This window comes from Homo sapiens, chromosome 22, assembly GCF_000001405.40.
Source record: "Homo sapiens chromosome 22, GRCh38.p14 Primary Assembly".
NCBI classification, from domain to species: Eukaryota; Metazoa; Chordata; class Mammalia; order Primates; family Hominidae; genus Homo; species Homo sapiens.
In genome coordinates this window covers 40,980,944-40,997,386 of record NC_000022.11, presented here as the reverse complement: position 1 = coordinate 40,997,386, position 16,443 = coordinate 40,980,944, and the positions used below count along the sequence as shown (strand labels likewise).

The 16,443-nt window shown below is 49.9% G+C and overlaps 2 annotated features.

Annotated features, from left to right (window-relative positions):
- Positions 4,533-5,032: an enhancer, noted in NCBI's record as "H3K4me1 hESC enhancer chr22:41388359-41388858 (GRCh37/hg19 assembly coordinates)". NCBI's record gives its function as "activates a minimal SCP1, AML or CMV promoter by ChIP-STARR-seq in naive H9 embryonic stem cells {active_cell/tissue: H9 hESC(naive)}" and the evidence as "EXISTENCE:reporter gene assay evidence [ECO:0000049][PMID:30033119]".
- Positions 5,033-5,534: an enhancer, noted in NCBI's record as "H3K4me1 hESC enhancer chr22:41387857-41388358 (GRCh37/hg19 assembly coordinates)". NCBI's record gives its function as "activates a minimal SCP1, AML or CMV promoter by ChIP-STARR-seq in naive H9 embryonic stem cells {active_cell/tissue: H9 hESC(naive)}" and the evidence as "EXISTENCE:reporter gene assay evidence [ECO:0000049][PMID:30033119]".

Below are 16,443 nucleotides of genomic sequence, written 5' to 3'. Positions count from 1 at the left end.
AGACTCTGTCTCAAAAAAAAAAAAAAAAAAGAGAATTCACAGAAAAGAAAATTATTATGGCTCTTAAATAAAGGGATGCTCAATTTCACTTAAATCCACAATGAGATTCCATTTACACTTAATGATTGGCAAAGATAAAAATGGTTTCATAATATAGATGGCTTGTATTCTATTTTTGTTGGACAGTTCTGATCTAGATAAAAACAAATCTGGCCGGGGGCGGTGGCTCACGCTTGTAATCCCAGCACTTTGGGAGGCCGAGGCGGGTGGATCAACTGAGGTGAGGAGTTCGAGACCTGCCTGGCATGGTGAAACAGTGTCTCTACTAAAAATATAAAAAACTAGCTGGGTGTGGTGGCGCATGCCTGTAATCCCAGCTACTAGGGAGGCTGAGGCAGAAGAATCACTTGAACCCGGGAGGCAGAGGTTGCAGCAAGCTGAGATCATGCCACGGCACTCCAGCCTGGGTGACAGAGCAAGACTCTGTCTCTCAACAAAACAAAACAAAATAAAACGACGAATCCCTCCTTGAGCACCTAAATTAATGAGCTTCAGGGCCTGGAGAACTGGCCTTCTGACTCCACCAGGACCACTGTGGGAGCCTCCTGGCCTCAGCCTGCAGAGCCCAGCTAGGATGCTCCTCCCACCACACCTCGTGTCTCTGTTATACTCAGTCACTGCTCAAAATGTCAGCTCCTCTGGTCATCTCTTCTCTTCTGCTGTCATTTCCACGCTGTTAATTCCTCTCATCTTGACAACTCCCTGTTCCCTACCTTCTAAGACCTTTTTACTTGGCTCTTCGAAAGCTGGCTCTTGGTCAACAAACTTGTCCTCAACCCCGCCCTTCACACCACAGTCTTCCCCTGCCTGGGGTTTGCTCGGGGGCCCAGCAGGTAAGGAAAATGCATGGAGGCCAGGCAGGGTGGCTCGCACCTGTAATCCCAACACTTTGGGAGGCCAAGGTGAGCAGATCACCTGAGGTCAGGAGTTTGAGACCAGCCTGGCCAACATGGTGAAACCCTGTCTGTACCAAAAATACAAAATTAGCCGGGCATGGTGGTGGGCACCTGTAATCCCAGCTACTCAGCAGGCTGAGGCAGGAGAATTGCTTGAATCCGAGAGGTGGAGGCTGCAGTGAGCCAAGATACCACCATTGCTCCCCAGCCTGGGCGACAAGAGCAAAACTCCATCTCAAAAAAAAAAAAAAGAAAGAAAGAAAAAGAAAATGTATGGAGCATGAAGGGCCAAAGGCAGTGGGTAATGTCTGTGCCTGGACTGTGAGTAGTGAGAACCCGGGAGGATGAGAGCCCACATTCCCTGATCCAGCTCCAGGCTGAGTGCTGGCATGTGGGAATGTGGACCCAGCATGGCCAGATCTTCAGATAATTTAAAAGAGGCAAGAAACCCTCATACACTGCTGGTAGGGATGTAAAATAGCGCGGCACTATGGAAAACAGTTTGGTGATTCCTCAAAAAGTTAAACAAAGAGTTACCACATGACCCAGTAATTCCACTCCTAGCTAGATATCTACCCAACAGAACTGAAAACATATGTCCACATGCCAACTTTCACACGAATGTTTATAGCAGTGCTATTTATTTTAATGTTTTAATTTTTATTTTTTGAGATGGCGTCTCACTCTGTCACCCAGGCTGGTGTGTAGTGGCATGATCTCGGCTCACTGCAGCCTCCACCTCCTGGGTTCAAGCGATTCTCCTGCCTCAGCCTCCTGAGTAGCTGGGACTACAGGCGCGCGCCACCATGCCTGGCTAATTTTTGTGTTTTTAGTAGAGACGGGGCTTCACTATGTTGGCCAGGCTGCTCTTGAACTCCTGACCTCGTGATCCACCCGCCTCGGCCTCCCAAAGTGCTAGGATTACAGTCGTGAGCCACTGAGCCCAGACGTGGTTTTTTTTTTTTTTTTTTTTTGAGATGGAGTTTCATTCTTGTTGCCCAGGCTGGAGTGCAGTGGCGCAATCTCGGCTCACTGCAACCTCTGCTGCCTGCGTTCAAGCGATTCTCCTGCCTCAGTCTCCTGAGTAGCTGGGATTACAGGCGCCTACCACCACATCCAGCTAATTTTGTATTTTTAGTAGAGATGGGGTTTCACCATGTTGACCAAACTGGTCTTGAACTCCTGACCTCAGGTCATCTGCCTGCCTCATCCTCCCAAAGTGCTGGGATTACAGGCGTGAGCCACTGCATTGGGCCAATTTTTGTATTTTTAATAGAGACAGAGCTTCTCCATATTGGCCAGGCTGCTCTTGTACTCCTGACCTCAAGTGATCCGCCAGCCTCGGCCTCTCAAAGTGCTGGGATTACAGGTGGGAGCCACCAGGTTCGGACTTTATTGGCTTAATTTTTGAGCAGGCAAAGCAAACTAGTGTTTGGCTTATTGGCTACCAGTTTGGAGCCTATGTTTTAACAGAAATCACGTGCTCTTCTGGGGTTCCCACTTCCCAGCACCCCTCCCCCGGGGAGGCTGCTCCTTCTTCCTCACACCTTGACCCTCTGGAACCAGCCCTGAGGCTTCTTCCAACCATCATCATTCACTATCTTTTATTTTGTTTATCTATTTATTTATTTTTAGAAACAGGGTCTTGCTCTATTGCCCTGGCTGGAGTGCAGTGGCATGATCTCAGCTCACTGCAGCCTCGAATTCCTAGGCTTAAGAGATCCTCCTGCCTCAGCCTCCTGAGTAGTTGGGAATACAGGTGCACGCTAAAGACAAGCTAATATTGTCTTTTAAAGACCTTGTCACCTTCAAAGTCCTTGCCTCTCAGTTATACTAATTCGTGACAACATTAGACCCAGGTGTACTTTCTTTTCTTTTTCTTTTTTTTTTTTTTTTTTGAGACAGGGTCTCATTCTATCACCCAGACTGGAGTACAGTGGCATGATCTTGGCTCACCACAACCTCCACCTCCCAGACTTAAGAGATTCTCCTGCCTCAGTCTCCCGAGTAGCTGGGATTACAGGCATGTGCCACTACCGCCCGGCTAATTTTTGTATTTTTAGTAGAGACAGAGTTTCGTCTTTTTGACTAGGCTGGTCTTGAACTCCTGACCTCAAATGATCTGCCCGTCTCAGCCTCCCAAACTGCTGGTATTATAGGCTTGAGCCACCACGCCCGACCCCAGACATACTTTCTATTTTCCTCTTTCTCGCAGTCTCTGCCTCTGTTCTAGGTATGTCTCATGTTCGCTTACGTGACCCATACACCAACCAACCTCTCTGTCATTTCCCTGGCTTCCTTCTCCCCCAGTCATTTCACCTTCCCTTGAGCTCTGCCCCCTTCGCAAGGCCAGAAGTTGCAGCCGAGTGTCCCACCCCTGAGTTACTACGTTCGGGGTGGTCCTTTCTCTTTCCGTGGTCATCTACTCTCCTGCTGTTGGCTGCTCTCACTTCCATCCTTTCTACTGCAAGACAATCTTTAACTCCAATCCTCCTGTCTGGCCTCTCCCTCCAGTCTTTGCTTCTTTCCCCAGCATGGATTCCACAGTTACCTACCTTGGCCAATCTCTTGACAACATCCTGACTTCTCTCTTTTTTTTTTTTTTGAGACGGAGTTTTGCTCTTGTTGCCCAGGCTGGAGTGCAATGGCGCGATCTTGTCTCACCACGACCTCCGCCTCCCGGATTCAAGCGATTCTCCTGCCTCAGCCTCCTGAGTAGCTGGGATTACAGGCATGCACCACCACGCCTGGCTAATTTTTATATTTTTAGTAGAGATGGGGTTTCTCCATGTTGATCAGGCTGGTCTTGAACTCCTGACCTCAGGTGGTCCACCCGCCTTGGCCTCTCAAAGTGCTGGGATTACAGGCGTGAGACACCTCGCCTGAAATCCTGACTTTTCTTGACCTGTCTCACTGATGCACTAACCCGGAAGCCCTGACTCAGAGCCAGTCTGCTCATCCTTCTTGGCTACACCTGGGTCCTAAGCTGTGCTGGAGAAAATCACATCACTGCAGAATCTGGTGCCATCAATCCACGGACATCAACCATAACTGTGTCCTCCAATACTACCTGCCAGCAGCTTGACTCTCCTCATCAGCTCGCCCCCAAAATCATCCATCATGGCTATTGAAAACCTCACTTTCTGTTATACTCAGAAACTGGAAGCTTTCAGACAGGAACTCTCCCATTATCCTGCCACCCAGGTGCCTATCTGACTGCCCCATCTATCACCTCCTGGAGGGGAGATGTGTCCTTTTCCCACTGAAGGCCAGTCCTCCCCGCTGTGCACCGTCTGATTCCCTAAATTCCACCTTTGGCTCCTGGATGCTCTTGGGCTTCTTCCATCTCTCTCTCTCTACTGACTCCTTGCCAAGAACAAACAAGAACCCTTCCATGTCTACCTCCCTCTCTCTACCTTGTGTCTTTTTCTAACAAGTAACCTAGCTCTGAAGCCAAAGCACTTTTTGTTGTTGTTGTTGAGACAGGGTCTTCTTCTGTCGCCCAGACTGGAGTGCAGTGGTGCAATCACAGCTCACTGCAGCCTCGACCTCCTGGGCTCAAGCGATCCTTCCACCTCAGCTTCCCAAGTAGCTGGAACTACAGGTGCACGCCACTATACCTGGCTAATTTGTTTTTTTTGTTTTTTTTTTTTTGTACAGACAGGAGCTTCCTATGTTGCCCAGGTTGGTCTTAAACTCCTGAGCTCCAGTGATCCTCCTGCCTCAATCTCCCGTAGTGCTGGGATTACAGGCATGAGACACCGCAACTGGCCCCAAAGCACTTCTTCAAAGAGTTGTTTACATTGGCTGCCTCAGTTTCCTCACATACCACATACTCCCTGGAGCCACCTGGCCTCTCCCAAATTCCACTGAAACTTTTATTGCAGGTCACTAACAAACTCCTTATTGCCGAATCAAACCAATTTGGGCTGAAGAGCATCCCAGCTGGATGGCCCATGGGTGATGTGCGAGCAGCTGGTCCTGGGAGCTTTCGTCTGAGGGCAGACGCATGGCTCAGCCCTCCTGGACACAGGGCGCAGGTGAAATGCGTAGCAGAGCTCATTTGAGTGGCAGGTGTCTCCTAGTCCCAGCAGGTGGTTCAGTCACCGGCAGAGTGCTTGGCACTGGGAGAGGATTGCGACTCCTGCTCTTCTCCCGGGTCAAGAAGGCCCCAGCAAACTCCCTGCAAGCCCCTAGGTGTAATTTCCTCCCACTCTGGTGAATCTCTTCTCTTCCAATGTACTGTCAGTAGATAAATACCATGTCCTTCCCCATTCAGGGGCTCAAAGCCAAGCACGTGACATCAAAAACTCTGGCTCGGCTGGGCGTGGTGGCTCATGCCTGTAATCCCAGCACTCTGGGAAGCTGAGGCAGGCAGATCACGAGGTCAGGAGTTCAAGACCAGCCTGGCCAACATAGTGAAACCCAGTCTCTACTAAAAATACAAAAATTAACCGGGCATGGTGGCGCGTGCCTGTAGTCCCAGCTACTCGGGAGGCTGAGGCAGGAGAATCGCTTGAACCCGAGAGGCAGAGGTTGCAGGGAGCTGAGATTGTACCACTGCACTCCAGCATGGGCGACAGCAAAACTCCGTCTCAAAAAAAAAAAAAGAATAGGAAAGGGAATGGTGACCAGTTAAAAGATGGAGCATTGGTGGCTTAGGAGTCCCAAATGTAAGGAAGTTGTCACATCAGGAGACTAAGAGGAAGAAGACAGAATATCATTTGGAGGTGGAGGTCTGAGACGGGGGGTTAAAAGTAGCAGTTCGGCAGCAACTACTGTTCTTGCCAATGATAATATGACCAGGTCAGCAGGTGGCCAAAGAACAGATCCTTGGCAGCAGGGAGGTCTGGGCCCTAGGTCCTGGGTTGGATGGGCTGTCTACATCCATGATGCTGAAATCCTGGTGAAGGGAGGTGGAGGGAATAGCAGCAGAGAGACAGACGGGGAGCCACTGCGTGTGTGATCCTGGCTGACGTGGATTGCCTGGGAGGAAGGCATGTGGCTGGAACCAGGGAGATCACTCCAGAGCCTGTGCACCAAAGGTGCTGCGAGGTTTGAGGAAGGAGAGAGGGACAATGATCGGGAAGAAGCAACGAGGAACTTGGGAGAGCCCGACCCCATCTCCAGCCTTTTGGGACAGGGAGCCTGGAAGGAAAAAGCAGCCTCCTTGAAGGGTTGAAAGGAAGCTGTGTCCTCACTCAGGGAAGAGTCAGGTGAGCAGAGAAGCGGGTGGGGACATAGAGGGCTTTGCTGTGGGCAGGGGCTGGGGCCTGAGGACAGGTGGGGCACTTGGCAGATGAGGAGGGGCGTGAGACTGGTCAGATAGGGGTATGTCGACAGCCATGTGGGGCCAGGCATTCAGGTGACAACATGTGAGCTGGGAGACAAGGGCTTTAGGCAGCGTGGAGCCTCATGGGCTCTTGTCCCCTGAATGTTCCTCAGACTCCTCCTCTTCTCTATTGAAGCTCACTCCATAGGGGATCTAACCCACTCCCACTGGAGTACACTCTGCCAATGAGTGACTCCCACATTTATCTCCACCTCCAGCCTCTCCGCAGCGCTCCAGCCTGCACATGGGATTACCTGCTGGGCACTGCCACGTGGATGTTTTAAACACCTTCCAAAGTGCAAGGCGTGGTCCCTCAAACCCGCTCTTCCCCCAGGAAATGGCACCACTGTCCACTCTGTCGCTTAGGACAAAAACCCAGAAGTCACCTTAGAGACCTCTGTTTCCTTTTCCCCCTTTCCCAACCCAACACCAGGTGCCAGCGGCTCCTGCTTCGGAAGCCACCAGGGCCATGTGCACTTGTGGCCCCATGGCTGCTGCTGGGTCCCTGCTTCCGCCACTGCTCACCCGGCCCAGGCACAGCTTCCACCCTCCCACAGGAGCAGCCAGAGTGAACCTCCCCAGACCCACATCAGAGCCAGCTCCTCCCCTCCTTCGGCTTCCTAAAGTGCTTGGGATAGATTCCCGAGTCCATGGCTGGGTCCCGCAGGAGGGCTCCTTCCCACCTCACTCCCCGCCATGGTCACCTTTGCCCTCCCATCCCCCGCCTCACTGGCCCTCCTTACTCTCTCTTCTCAAAACACTCACATCTGCTCCAATGCCACCTCCTCCCAGAGGCCCACCCCCACCCTGAAGGTCCTGCCACAGAACAATCCCTCCTCCACTCTCTCCTGTTGCTCTGCTCTGTTATTCTCTAGATCAATCCATAGCACCTGACATACCGATGTTTCCTTGTTGATTTGATGATTTTCCTCTCTCCACTAGGACAAGCTCCATGGAGGATGTGGGCAAAACACCATCTTTTTCTTTTCTTTTGAGACAGTTTCCTTTTGTCTCCCAGGCTGGTGCGTGCAGTGGCACCATCTCGGCTCACTGCAACCTCCACCTCCCAGGTTCAAGCAATTCTCCCGTCTCAGCCTCCTGAGTAGCTGGGACTAAAGGCGTGAGCCACCACACCCAGCTAATTTTTTGTATTTTTAGTAGAGACAGGGTTTCACCATGTTGGCCAGGCTGGTCTTGAACTCCTGACCTCAGGTGATCCACCCTCCTTGGCCTCCCGGAATGCTGGGATTACAGGAGTGAGCCACCGCTCGTGGTCTTTCCTGTTTGTTTTCAAGGCCCTCCTTTGAAGCATCACCTTTTCCACTGCTGTATCCCACGCCTTGAACCTGCCCAGCTGATAGCAGAGGTGTAATAAATATTTGTTGAATAAGTGGATAACTAAAGAAGCCTATTTTATTTTATTCGGGCCTCAAGAGCCCGTTCTGAAAAGTCAAAAGCTGAATTTATGATTCCTGCTTTAGCAATTCTAATTCTCCCCAAGGCAATTCATCCTCGGTATTAGGCAGGTAGTCAAGGAGGAGCAGCAGCCAAGAGCACGTCAAGTAATATTTTGTTTCTTGGTTGGCACCAGGTCTTGGGCAGCGCAGGAAGAGAGTATGCGTCTTTCAGCACAATAAAAGACAAGTTCTTACCCTGAAGGGCGGGACATCTTTCTGTCTTCCATGACCTGAGTCTCTGTTGTCTCTGAAAAGTGGAATGGAGCAGGCTTGGGGCACCCACCTTCCCTCTCACTCATGGGCTGCGTGTGTTTTGGAGTTCAGGGGCTGGGTGCACATTACTGCTCACTGGGCTAAACGCCGGTAGGAGTGGGGAGCTCTACCTGAATTTGAGCTTAGGGAAGAAGAAAGGTCATTGAGAAAATGAAATGTAATACCTGAAGGAAATGAGTGAGACGGATGCTTTCAAGGGAGAACTCTCAAGTGAAAAGGCCTGCAGGGGCTGGGCATGGTGGCTCATGCCTGTAATCCCAGCACTTTGGGAGGCTGAGGTAGGAGGATCACTTGAGATTAGGAGTTTGACACCAGCCTGGCCAACATGGTGAAACCCTGTCTCTACTAAAAATACCAAAAAAAAAAAAAAAAAAAATTAGCCGAGTGTGGTGGTGCACGCCTGTAGTCCCAGCTACTTGGGAGACTGAGGTGGGAGGATCACATGAACCAGGAGGTGGAGGTTGCAGTGAGCTGAGATAGAGCCAGTGCACTCCAGCCTGGGTGACAGAGTGAGACTCTGTCTTAAAAAAAAAAACAAAAAAAAAAAACAGGCCGGGCACGGTGGCTCATGCCTGTAATCCCAGCACTTTGGGAGGCCAAGGCGGGTGGATCACGAGGTCAAGAGATTGAGACCAACCTGACCAACATGGTGAAATCCCATCTCTACTAAAAATACAAAAATTAGCCAGGCATGGTGGCGTGTGCCTGTAATCCCAGCTACTCGGGAGGCTGAGGCAGGAGAATCACTTGAACCTGGGAGGCGGAGGTTGCAGTGAGCCAAGATTGTGCCATTGCACTCCAGCCTGGGTGACAAGAGTGAAACTCCGTCTCAAACAAACAAAACGAACAAAAACTAAAGTCAACACACATGTGACGGGCTGGGAGAAACCTTTGCCTGCCACAGTATAACAGCTTCATAATGAAAAATAGAGAGAATCTTGAAAGAAATAAGAAAATGACAAAAACAAAACAAAACAAATAAGAAAACCCAATAGGAAACCGGGCAACTCATATGAAAGGGTGATTTGAAGAAGGGTCCAAATTCCCAGTAAACCTAGGAAAAGATGTTCAGTGTCCCTGGAAATTAGAGGAATGTAAATGTTACGGGCTGAAGTGTGTCATTCCCAAAAAAATATGTTTTAGTCCTAACCTCCAGCCACCTCAGAATGCGATCTTTGTGGAAACAGGGTAATTGCAGAGGTAGTTGGTCAAGATGGGGTCATACTGGAGTAGGGTGGGCTCCCATCCAACGTGGCGTCCTTAGAAGGAGCTGGCCAGTGAAGACGGAGACACACAGACAGGAAGATTGGAGGGAGGCATCTCCAGACCAAGGAATGCTAAAGATTGCCAGCAAACCACCAGAGGCTGGGCTGGGGCAAGGAAGGATTTTTTTTTTTTTAGACGGAGTTTTGCTCTGTTGCCCAGGCTGGGTGCAATGACATGATCTCGGCTCACTGCAACTTCCGTCTCCCAGGTTCAAGCAATTCTTCTGCCTCAGCCTCCCGAGTAGCTGGGATTACAGGCATATGCCACCATGCTCGGCTAATTTATTTTTATTTTTATTTTTATTTTATTTTTAGTAGAGACAGGGTTTCTCTATGTTGGCCAGGCTGGTCTTGAACTCCCGACCTCAGGTGATCTGCCCACCTCTGCCTCCCAAAGTGCTGGGATTACAGGTGTGAGCCACCGTGCCCGGCTGGGGCGAGGAAGGATTCTATGCTACAGGTTTCAGCATAAGCATGGTCTTGTCCACACTTTGATTTTTTTTGTTGTTTGTTTATTTGTTTTTTTTTTTTGAGATGGAGTCTTGCTCTATTACCCAAGCTGGAGTGCAGTGGCACAATCTCAGCTCACTGCAACCTCTGCCTCCCGGGTTTGAGCAATTCTCCTGCCTCTGCCTCCCAAGTAGCTGGGATTACAGGCATGAGCTACCATACCCGGCACATTTTTTTATATTTTTGGTAGAGACAAGGTTTCACCATGTTGGTCAGGCTGGTCTCGAATTCCTTACCTCAAGTGATCCGCCTGCCTTGGCCTCCCAAAGTGCTGGGATTACAGGTGTGAGCCACCTCGCCCAGCCAGCGCTTTGATTTTGGACTTTGAGCCTCCAAAACTGTAAGACAATACATTTCGATTTATTTATTTATTCATTCATTGATTTTTTGAGATGGAATCTCACTCTGTTGCCCAGGCTGGCGTGCAGTGGCACAATCTTGGCTCACTGCAACCTCCGCCTTCCAGGTTTAAGTGATTCTCGTGCCTCAGCCACACAAGTAGCTGGGATCACAGGGATGCATCAGCACGCCTGGCTCATTTTTGTATTTTTAGTAGAATCGTTGTTTCACCATGTTGGCCAGGCTGGTCTCCAACTCCTGGCCTCAAGTGATCCGCCCGCCTCGGTCTCCCAAAGTGCTGGGATGACAGGTGTAAGCCACCGCACTCGGCCACATTTCTGTTTTTAAACCACCTAGTGTGTGGTCCTTTGTTATACCACCCCTAAAAAACTAACACAGCAAATTAAAACAACGTTGAGATCGCTTTCATTTTTTCCGTCCGTTGGCAAAAAAATGAAAAATATTATTATATCCAGTGCTGGCAAAGATGTGAGAAAACTCTCACTGCAACTCTGATGGGAGTGGGATTTAGTGACACCCCTTTGGAGGCAATTTGGCAGGACACCATCAGATAAAAATGAAAAGACTCATGTTCTACAGCTTGGCAATTCCAGCTCTTTCTGTCTAACCTGGAGAAATACTTACACATGTTCACAAAAGAGTTGCATATTAGAATGTTCTTTGCAGCATTTTTGTAACAGCAGAAAACCTGACAAATCTATGACATCCACGGATAGGAAATGGCTCATGAACTGGTCTGTCTCTCCTCGGGGGATTCACGATGAAGTTGCTGAAGCTTAAGCTGCAGGCCTCTCATTTGCACCAACCCCTTCCAAGGCCCAGAGAGGGGCTCTGGCAATTTCTATGTGCAACTTTGTATTACCTTTTAAAGAGTCTCCTCCTGAATGCATAAGCTCCAGGCTCCATAACATTTGAGCCTGCTCCTGTCATACTCTATAATAGACAATGGCAATTAACAAAGAAATAGGGCCAGTGGGCCAGACATGGTGGCTCACACCTGTAATCCCAGCACTTTGGGAGGCCAAGGCAAGCGGATCGTTTGAGGTCAGGAGTTGGAGACCAGTTTGGCCAACATGGTGAAATCCCATCTCTACTAAAAATACAAAATTTAGCCGGGCGTGGTGGCGCTTGCTTGTAATCCCAGACACTTGGGAAGCTGAGGCAGGAGAATTGCTTGAATCCGGGTGGCGGAGGTTGCAGTGAGCCAAGATCATGCTATTGCACTCCAGCCTGGGTGACAGAGTAAGACTCCATCTCAAAAAAAAAAAAAAAAAAAAAAAAAAAATGAAAAGAAAAGAAAAGAAAAGAAAAAAAGAAATAGGGCCAGTGGCTAGAGAATAGAGGGTTTCACTGAGCGGAGCCTCTGAGTTCCTGCAGAGGTTTGGAAGTGACAAGTTGAGAAGCCGATCAGGCATCACCTCCTGCCACCCACCCTGGGCAGCCGGCGTGGGCATGTGACACAGACTGGGTCAATCTGAGAGGCTCCTATATAGAGGGTGGGATTAGGGGCCAGTGGTGGGCAGTGAGTGTCACAGGGGCCACCTGCTTGCAGGCCATGATGAGTGTACAGGAGTGGCGGTGTCGGCCGACAGCTCCTGTGGTTTGGTCTCTGCTGCCTTATTGTCCCTCTTGGTTTGGCCTTTTTTTTTTCTAAGTTTCTTCTCTAGCCTTCCTGCCATTTGTTCATTTTGTTTGTTTTTGAGACAGGATCTTGCTCTGTCACCTAGGCTGGAGTGCAGTGACGTGATCATGGCTTACTGCAACCTTGACCTCCTCGGGCTCAGGTGATCCTCCCACCTCAGTCTCCAAAGTAGCTGGAACTACAGGCATGTGCCACCACACCTGGCTAATCTTTGTATTTTTTGTAGAGATGGGGTTTCACCATGTTTCCCAGGCTGGTCTCGAACACCTGTGCTGAAGCAATCCTCCTACCTTGGCCTCCCAAAGAGATGGGATCACAGGTGTGTAATCCCTTGTCCAACCCTTCCTGCCATTTGCTGAGCTGTCTGATGGTCTCCCAATAAATCCCCTTCCTGCACAAGCTAGCCAGTTGGTCTCTTCTGTTTGCCACCAGGAACCTGACTGGTACCAATAGCTCACGCCAGTTCCGAGAAATATTTAAGGGAATACATAGAATTCTTTTCAGTCTAATGCTTTTCTCCCACAAAATTTTCTGAAATCTTTGATGTCTACTATGACTCGCCTCCACTAGAATTTCATAAAAGTTGTATTTATTTATTTATTTATTTATTTATTTATTTATTGAGACGGAGTCTCGCTCTGTTACTCAGGCTGGAGTGCAATGGCGCGATCTCGGCTCACTGCAAGCTCCGCCTCCCGGGTTCACGCCATTCTCCTGCCTCAGCCTCCCGAGTAGCTGGGACTACGGGCACCCGCCACCATGCGCGGCTAATTTTTTTGTATTTTTAGTAGAGACGGGGTTTCACCGTGTTAGCCAGGATGGTCTCGATTTCCTGACCTCGTGATCCGCCCGCCTCGGCCTCCCAAGGTGCTGGGATTACAGGCATGAGCCACTGCGCCCGGCAGGAAAAGGTTGTATTTCATCTGACTCGAGAGCTACAGGTTTATTTATTCCGGCTTTAGTGAACATCCACGCAGGTGCTGCCACCCAGGAACCCAGAGCCCTGGAAAGCCTGAGGTTCCCTGGGCAGATCCCTTTCTATCGGGAGATGACTCCCACACCCACACCCCAAATAGGAAGATTTCTTCTTCTTCTTTTTTTTTTTTTTTAGATGGAGTCTTCGTCTGTTGCCCAGGCTGGAGTGCAATGGTGCGATCTCGGCTCACTGAAACCTCCGCCTCCCAGGTTCAAGCAATTCTCCTGCCTCAGCCTCCCCTGTAGCTGGGACTACAGGTGCCGGCCACCACGCATGGCTAATTTTTGTATTTTTAGTAGAGATGGGATTTCACCATGTTGGTCAGGCTGGTCTCGAACTCCCGACCTCAGGTGATCCGCCCGCCTCAGCCTCCCAAAGAGCTGGGATTACAGGCGTGAGCTACGGCACCCGGCTCCAAATAGGAAGATTTCATGATACTCAACACTTGGAGAGTTTGTTCCCTGCATAAGAGGTAAAGTCATTCAGTGGAAAGAACATGAGATTTGGAGTCAGGAGACTGCACTCAGGTCCAAATCGGCCTCCGGGCACAGTCTCTCCAACACTCTGAGCCCCATACTCTCATTTGTAAAGGGGGTAACAGTACTTACTACAGATCAGCCATCCAGGAGACCCTGGGTGCTGTCACTCCACAGCCCCGACTAGAGAAGGTGTCAGACATTTTTTTTCTTTTTCTTTTTCTTTTTGAGACAGAGTCTCGCTCTGTCGCCCAGGCTGGAGTGCAATGGCATGATCTTGGCTCACTGCAACTTCCATCTCCCAGGTTCAAGCGATTCTCCTACCCCAGCCTCCTGAGTACCTGGGACTACAGGCGCCCGTCACCACGCCCAGCTATTTTTTGTATTTTCAGTAGAGACGGGGTTTCGCCATGTTGGCCAGGCTGGTCTCAAACTCCTGACCTCAAATGATCCACCCACCTTGGCCTCCCAAAGTGCTGGGATTACAGGCGTGAGCCACTGCTCCTGGCCCACAAATTGTTTTTATGAACAAGTTGCTATGCTCTATTCCTCGGACTTCAGACACATGGACTGGAAGAGGATCAGGTGACTGTGGCAAGGGCAGCCATCTCTGGAGGTCAGTGCCCTGTGAGCTGGGCTAGCGTGAACAGTCCTGCCCAATCACCTGTTTCTTGTGGACAGATGAAACGCAAGGCTTACGTGGAGATTTGTGCAGCAGAGACACAGAAACCCAGAGATCCACAGAGATGACAGCTAAAAGTAGAAGTTGAGGCAGTAGAAGCTTTAAGCATGCAGGAGTACGCAGGAGTAAGGCGGCGGAGAGGCCGTGGTGGTTGCAGGAGCTGTTGGTCCCCTGCGCTGTATCCCCTTGGGGCTTCTTAGTCCACCTGCAGGTGTAGGCGGTGGTTCCCTGCACACACAAGCTTCACTTCAGTACCCCCATCTCTCTGCTTCTCAGCCTGAGGGGTTTTTTTCTGGAGCAGTGAACACTTGCTCAGCCTTTTGTGCAGGGTAACCCAGAAGGGCCACGGATTTAAAACCTCCAGGCCCTGGCTCAGTACCTGGGCTTCCCATCCCTGGGCGTGCAGTGCTGTGCTGTGCTCTGCACGTCCCCACAGCGGGCCTGGCGGGGGACTGAGCCCAGTTGTCCGCAGAGGTGACCTGCTCAGTGTCTTTCCTCACTCCCCTGTCTCTCATTCCCTCTCCCGCGCTGTGCTTCCTGGAATCAACTCCAAAATAAGCTACCAAGTTCTCGTCTCAGGCTCTTCTTCAGGGGAATCTAAATTTAGACAGTGGCACTAGAAGAAAAGAGAAGCAGCAACAAAAATCTGCTGTGGGTGCTGAGAAGCAGCGGACACTTCTGCAGGGACAACCAGATGGAGGCCTGCGGCCTACTGAGCGACATTCCAGTCTCCCAGGCCAGATTGCGCAGACAGGGAGGATTTCCTGTGAACCTGCTGTGCTACCAGTGTGCTTGAGGGAACCCGAGAAGTCTCTGGTCCTTTCAACCTGAAGGGACTGAACCAGCCTTCTCCTATGGAGAGCTGCTGTTTGTTAGGCACCTACTATGTGTCCAGCTCTGTGGCAGGCGCTTCACTTTCAACTCTCATTCTCTTGACAACTTGCAAGGGAGGTAATATCTTAAAAAACAAAGTAGGCCAGGCGCGGTGGCTCACACCTGTAATCCCAGCACTTCGGGAGGCCGAGATGGGCGGATCACCTGAGGTCAGGAGTTCGAGACCAGCCTGACCAACATGGTAAAACCCTGTCTTTACTAAAAATACAAAATTAGCTGGGTGTGGTGGCACATGCCTGTAATCCCAGCTACCCAGGAGGCTGAGGCGGGAGAATCGCCTGAACCCAGGAGGCAGAGGTTGCACTGAACCAAGGCCGTGCCATTGCGCTCCAGCCTGGGAAACAAGAGCGAAACTCCATCTCAAAAAAAAAAAAAAAAAAAAAAAAGCCAGGATTGGTGGCACATGCCTGCAGTCCCAGCTACTCAGGAGGCAGAGGCAGAAGAATCGCTTCAACCCGGGAGGTGGAGGTTGCAGTGAGCTGAAATTGCGCCACTGCACTCCAGCCTGGGGGAGAGAGGGAGACTCTGTCTCAAAAACAAAAACAAAAACAAAACAAACAAAAAACAACAGCAACAACAAAAACAAAGTAGGAAGTAGGCCAGGCATGGTGACTTATGCCTGTAATCCCAGTAATTTGGGAGGTCAGGAATTCGAGACCATCCTGACCAACATGACAAAACCCCGTCTCTACTAAAAATACAATAATTAGCCGGGCATGGTGGCACATGCCTGTAGCCCCAGCTATTCAGGAGGCTGAGGCAGGAGAATCGCTTGAACCTGGGAGGCGGAGGTTGCAGTGGCCATGATCGTGCCACTGCACTCCAGCCTAGGGTGACAGAGTGAGACTACATCTCAAAAAAAATAGGATGAAAGACCTACATCTAAGAACTAAAACACAAAAACTCTTAGATGAAAATATAGGGGCAAATATTCATGATGTTGGATTTGACAACAATTTATTAAATGTGACACCAAAAGAAAAAACAAATAGATTGCAATTCATCAAAGTTAAAAACTTTTGTGTATCAAAGGATATTATGGGTTTTGTTGTTGTTGTTGTTTGTTTGTTTGTTTGAGACAGAGTTTCCCTCTATTGCCCAGGCTGGAGCGCAGTGGTGTGATCTCGGCTCACTGCAGCCTTCACCTCCCAGGCTCAAGCAAGCTATCCTCCCACCTCAGCCTCCTGAGTAGCTGGGTCTACAGGCGTGTGGCACCATGCCTGGCTAATTTTTGAATTTTTCTGTAGAGACGGGGTTTCACCACCTTGCTCAGGCTGGTCTCAAACTCCTGGGCTCAAGCGAACCTCCTGTCTTGGCCTCCTAAAGTGCTGGGATTACAAGTGTAAGCCACCACGTCCAGCTGGGATACTATCAAGAGAGTGAAAAGGCAACCCACAGAATGGAAGCAAATTTTTGCAAATAATATATCTGGTAACGATTTAATATCCACATTATATAAAAAGTTCCAACAACTCACCACCACCAAAAAACCCCCCAAAAAACAAAAACCCCAAAAACCAACCCAATTAAAAAATGGCAAAGGGGCCAGGCATGGTGGCTCATGCCTGTAATTCCAGCACTTTGGGAGACTGAGGTGGGCAGCTCACTTGAGGTCAGGAG